This window comes from Homo sapiens, chromosome 2 (genome assembly GCF_000001405.40).
Source record: "Homo sapiens chromosome 2, GRCh38.p14 Primary Assembly".
NCBI classification, from domain to species: Eukaryota; Metazoa; Chordata; class Mammalia; order Primates; family Hominidae; genus Homo; species Homo sapiens.
Window position 1 is genome coordinate 66,851,273 of NC_000002.12, and position 6,319 is coordinate 66,857,591.

The 6,319-nt window shown below is 40.6% G+C and overlaps 1 annotated feature.

The window, feature by feature from the left end:
* Positions 465 to 759: an enhancer, noted in NCBI's record as "tiled region #11234; HepG2 Activating DNase matched - State 9:DNaseU". NCBI's record gives its function as "activates a minimal TATA promoter and a strong SV40 promoter by Sharpr-MPRA in HepG2 cells {active_cell/tissue: HepG2}" and the evidence as "EXISTENCE:reporter gene assay evidence [ECO:0000049][PMID:27701403]".

A 6,319-nucleotide genomic window follows, 5' to 3' on the forward strand; every position in this document is an offset into this window, starting at 1 on the left:
TTTCTGGCTTAATGTTTGCATCAAAGCAGAATCAGAAATGGAACTGAATCTTTTACTGAGTGCTTAGTACGTGCTAGGCACTATTCTAAGTATATTCTATTAATTAAGTAATTTAATCTTCACCAGGCTACAAGGGAGATATGTCAGTTTTACAGTTGAAAAATCAGATGCACAGAGAGGTTAAGTAACTTCTCAAAGGTCACATTGCCAGCAAGTGCTGGAGACAGGCTGTGAATCAGGGCCATCTGGGTTGAGAGCTGGCAAACCAGGCTGCATCCCAGACTGCTGGAATCCCATGCTTGTATCGGTTTAGAAATGAATTCATTTGTAAACATTTCATGATGAGGCAATTCTAAAGTACATGCTTCCAACATGTAGGCAACTCTTTCTCAGGAAGCCTAAGTGCTTTCTCCTAAAAGTCTTACTCAGGATCCTGGAGAGGGGAGGTTTTGAGTCATCACCTCTTGTTAACTGGGTTCTCACATACTTCAGGGGCTATCCTAGTCCCCTGGGTGATTTCCAGTCCTATGTACTTTGAACTGCTCAGAACTCTGTAAGCAAAATTGTTTGCTGATGTGATGTGCAAGAAATGTGGGAATGGCACAGTGTGGAAAAGCAAGGACACATTTCCAGCCCCCTGAATGGTTTGCATGAGGAGAGTTGAGGCTGCCTCCCCATATGTTTGTCTTCCTCCCACCTCTAGTTGTCTGCTTCCTTCTGGAGTTGCCTGCTATCCTAATGTGTCCCAGGTATCCATTTGTTCCACTAGCATCAGGGAGCAATTGTCTTCAGCCTATGGAGTGTCACTGTTTGACCCAGGGCCCAAATCAAAGTCTTTAGTTACCACACTTGACAAAGGGATTTATCACCAATGAAAAGACAAATCAATCTACTGAAACTTAACTTGGTATTTCTCTGGGAGTCATACCAAGGCTCAGAAGGTCACTCTCTAGCATTAAAAGACCAAGGTGTTCCAAGACCAATGCTATCCATTATGACTTCCCCATAGCCAAGAAATATTCCTTATTGACTAATAACATAAGGGGGAGAAGAATGAGGGCAATGGAGGAGAAACCTTTGCAGTGAATTGATCTTTCACACATGTTGGCTGAGGACCGGAGACCAGGATGGGCAAAGCCTTGGTAGGAATCCCCACCTGCTCCATATGTGCCAGAAAAACTCTGATTTTAACATAAGGTAGACTATTTCCTACATTTTACTTAATTCAATTCCAATGAGAGGAGAAGGCAGAAAAAACAAATACAGGAGACATAGAATGTAGCATCAACTCTCCACTGATTAATTGTGTGATCTTGAAAAAGTCACCAAAGGGCTCTCAACTCAGTTTCCTCACACACCTCATGAGGGATTGGGCCAGATAATCTGTTATCTTCTGCTCAGCAATAATAGTAATAGTTATAATTTCAGTGTGTGTGGATGGAGTTATGCTTCCATTTTTCTTTAGGAGTCTAAAGAAAGTTAAAGTTTCTTCAAATCGTGAAAAATTTAAGGAGCAACCAAGTTTATCATTTTCACTGCATATCATGTGTGTATATATATTCAACAGCTGGAACATAATATAACATTTTTTTTTAGTAATTTCAAAACACATGCCATGTGCTGAATGGAGATTTCTAGGACTTCTACAATTGCTAACTTTAACACTCACCTCTAATATATTCCGACTTAAAGTGTGCAACCTTGTTTAAAATGCACTGCTAAAGCATATATTTTCATGTATTGCTATGTCTGAATGCATGATAACCAGGTTGAAAATCAAATTATCTGTGTTAGGGTGAGTATTATAGTGTGAATACTGCCTGCTGTGCTGTGAATGAATCTTGTAAACACAATCAAATGCATCTTTCCCTTTCTCACGCATTCAGACCCCCACCCTGCTTGGAGAGGCAATTCTTCACCTTCCGCTTCCCATTGTCACAGCAGTTCATGTTTATCGTGGGTGACATCTTCAGCTTCCATGCAGCGTGAGCTATGCCAGGTTGCAACTGAGCTTTCTCCTCCAAACATCAGCCTTCAGATTAAAGCTGTTTCACGAATAATGAAAAATAAATAAATATCCTTATTCCAGAAGTTTGTGAAATGCTTTGTTTAACTACAAGTGTCTGCTGAGAAATTTCTGTTCTCTTAAACTGTTTTATTGAGGGCAAAGGGTAGGTGTTTAAAGGGAGCCATGTTTGCTCCATTGAGAATTTACTAAATTATCCAAATAGTGGAGGAGAGGGATGCTGTGTGACATTCAGAGAGGACCCCAAACTTCAGGAAGCGGCAAGCCAGCAGACAGCCAAGAGCTTTCAGGGAGGAGAGTGAGTCCTCTGCTAAGTCACAAGCCCTGAGAACGTGCTTTTCAGTCACGGCCCCACAGCTGTCTAAACACTTTGTGAGCAGCCATGATAGTCATTCATGGAGTGCACAGCTTAGATAATGAAGAGGCACTAAGAGAAGACTTCATCTGAAGAAAGAGGCTCTATTTTTCCAGTGCCATACAAGGCAAGATTGCTGTGAGATCTGAGCAAGGGATGACCCACGCACAGTTGTCCTGGATCTCTCCTCTTGCTGGCAGCATCCTTGCCTGATGTTGCCAAATCTCCAAAGTTCGCAACTGCAATGTTCGGAAAGGGAAAATAAACTGTGAATTATGGGGTTACCCTGACCAGTTCTTTCCGTAACAACTCAGTTAATCTCTCCCTTAGCAAAACAGTAAAGGTGCTGGTATTAGAGATGGATTGCTCTCTCCTTCCCTGCCTTTTCTTTCTGCTTTTCATACCTGTCCCTACCTAAATTCTCAGCACTCATTGCCCACAAAGGACCTACAGCTCTCAAACAGTTCTCCACCCACTTCTCACTGCACAGCACCCACGCTGGGCAGCCCTTCAATACTTTCCTGGGCTCCTCACTCTCCCTGTCTCCCTGTCTGTGGATCTCTGGTCAATCAGTTATACACTTGATCTTAGCCAAAAAGCTGAGACGTGAGGATAAATCAGTTCTGATGTCTGAGTATCTGATGGGGTTTCATGGATCACCCTCCTCAGGCAGGGTTCCCTTCTTCTCAGAAGTGTTCAATGCCGTTGTCCAAAGGAAGAAGCAATGGTGACATTACAGGCATCGGGGCAGCCTGGGATCCTTTTAGCTCTGGATAGTAAAGCTGCTTCATGAATAATGAAAAATTATTATTCAGGCAGCTGCCTAACCACAGACTAACCCTGGGTGTTCCGGGGAAACTTCCTTGTTGATTTATCATAGACTTTGAGGGTTGAATACTTGCAAGCCCTCTCAAGAATAACAGGAATCATCATTCAGGGATGTGTGACCCCACTGATCCCCCAGTCTTTTCATGCAGTGAAAATAAGGCTAGAATGAACCTCAAGTTAAATTTTAAAGAAGAGGAAAACATCACAATAGGAGATCCTTTATGCTCAGTGTGGACAAGAAAAGGGGGTTCTCATGGCTGATGATGACGCTGTGTTATTAGCAGCCTGTATACAGGACAAAGTAAGTTTTTTAAAAAAGTATCTGACAGAACTACCTCCATTCCTCTGTAGACTTCTCCTCCAGGCATTGACTGATGTCAGCAAAAAGCAGTCCAGGAAAATGCTAGAGAAATGCAGGGATCAGCTTGGAACATGTAATCCTGAAGATGACAATGCTTCTTCATTTTCCCCTGCACCCTCATTTCCACCATGACCCCACATTTTTAAGTGTGCAATCTGTTTCACCCACTTAAGATAGACCCATTAAGATAGACCCTCCCTTAAGATAGACCCATTGTCTGAGGAAGAATAAGTCAGGACTCCTCCACTTTTAAACAATCCCCAAAACTCAAGGCTTGGTACTTCTGAGGACTCCATCTGGGAGACTTCAAGATGGAAAGGAGTTCAGAATTCCCAGAAAAGCATGAAAAACAGGAAACAGGATCCCCTACGTCCTCTGAGCCGATACTTCACATCCATTACTCAAAACTCAGCAAAGAATTGGGCCTCTGGCCAGATCTTCCAATACTATGTTGAATAGGAATGGTGAGAGAGGGCATCCTTGTCTTGTGCCAGTTTTCAAAGGGAATGCTTCCAGATTTTGCCCATTCAGTATGATATTGACTGTGGGTTTGTCATAAACTGCTCTTATTATTTTGAAATACATTCCATCAGTATCTAGTTTATTGAGAGTTTTTAGCATGAAGGAATGTTGAATCTTGTCAAAGGCCTTTTCTGCATCTATTGAGATAATCATGTGGTTTTTGTCATTGGTTCTGTTTATGTGATGGATTACATTTTTTGATTTGTGTATGTTGAACCAGCCTTGCATCCCAGGGATGAAGCCGACTTGATCATGGTGAAAAAGGTTTTTGATGTGCTGCTGGATTCAGTTTGCCAGTATTTTGTTGAGGATTTTTGCATCAATGTTCATCAAGGATATTGACTTGAAATTTTCTTTTTTGTGTGTGTGTCTCTGCCAGATTTTGGTATCAGGATGACGCTGGACTTATAAAATGAGATAAGGAGGAGTCCCTCTATTTCTATTGTTTGGAATAGTTTCAGAAGGAATGGTACCAACTCCTCTTTGTACCTCTGGTAGAATTCAGCTGTGAATCCGTCTGGTCCTTGGCTTTTTTTGGTTGGTAGGCTATTATTTACTGCCTCAATTTCAGAACTTGTTATTGGTCTATTCAGGGATTCGATTTCATCCTGGTTTAGTCTTGGGAGGGTGTATGTGTCCAGGAATTTATCCATTTCTTCTAGATTTTATAGTTTATTGGCGTAGAGGTGTTTATAGTATTCTCTGATGGTAGTTTGTATGTCTGTGGGATTGGTAGTGATAACCCCTTTATCATTTTTTATTGCGTCTATTTGATTCTTGTCTCTTTTCTTCTTTATTAGTTTGGCTAGCAATCTATCTATTTTGTTAATCTTTTCAAAAAACCAGCTCCTGGATTCATTGATTTTTTTGAAGGGTTTTTCCTGTCTCTATCTCCTTCAGTTCTGCTCTGATCTTAGTTATTTCTTGTCTTCTACTAGCTTTTGAATTTGCTCTTGCTTCTCTAGTTCTTTTAATTGTGATGTTAGAGTGTTGATTTTAGATCTTTCCTGCTTTCTCCTATGGTCATTTAGTTCTAAAATTTCCCTCTTAGCAATGCTTTATCTGTGTCCCAGAGATTCTAATATGTTGCATCTTTGTTCTCATTGGTTTCAAATAACTTACTTACTTCGGCCCTACTTTTATTATTTACCCAGTAGTCATTCAGGAGCAGGTTGTTCAGTTTCCATGTAGTTGTGTGGTTTTGAGTGAATTTCTTAATCCTGAGTTTTAATTTGATTGCACTGTGATCTGAGAGACTGTTAGTTATGATTTCCGTTCTTTTGCATTTGCTGAGGAGTGTTTTACTTCTAATTATGTGGTCAATTTTGCAATAAGTATGATGTGGTGCTGAGAAGAATGTATATTCTGTTGATTGGGGTGGAGAGTTCTGTAGATGTCTATTAGGTACACTTGGTCCAGAGCTGAGTTCAAGTCCTGAATATTGTTGTTGATTTTCTGTCTTATAGAGCTGTCTAATATTGACAGTGGGGGTGGGGTGTTAAAGTCTCCCACTATTATTGTGTGGGAGTCTAAGTCTCTTTGTAAGTCTCTAAGAACTTGCTTTATGAATCTGGGTGCTCCTGTCTTGGGTGCATATATATTCAGGATAGTTAGCTCTTCTTGTTGCATTGACCCATTTATGATTATGTAATGCCCTTGTTTATCTTTTTTCATCTTTGGTGGATTAAAGTCTGTTATGTCAGAGACTAGGATTGCAACCCCTGCTTTTTTTTACTTTCCATTTGCTTGGTAAATAATTCCTCCATCCCTTTATTTTGAGCCTGTGTGTGTCTTTGCATGTGAAATGGGTCTCCTGAATACAGCACACTGATGGGTCTTGACTCTTTATCCAATTTGCCAGTCTGGGTCTTTTAATTGAGGCATTTAGCCCATTTACTTTTAAGTTTAATATTGTTATGTGTGAATTTGATCCTGTCATTATGATGCTAAGCTGGTTATTTTGCTCCTTAGTTGATGCAGTTTCTTCATAGTGTCGATAGTCTTCACAATTTGGTATGTTTTTCCTAGTGGCTGGTACTGGTTGTTCCTTTCCATGTTTAGTGCTTCCTTCAGGAGCTCTTGTAAGGCAGGCCTGGTGGTGACAAAATCTCTCAGCATTTGCTTGTCTGTAAAGGATTTTATTTCTCCTTTGCTTATGAAGCTTAGTTTGGCTGGATCTGTAATTCTGGGTTGAAAATTATTTTCTTTAAGAATATTGGTTATTGGC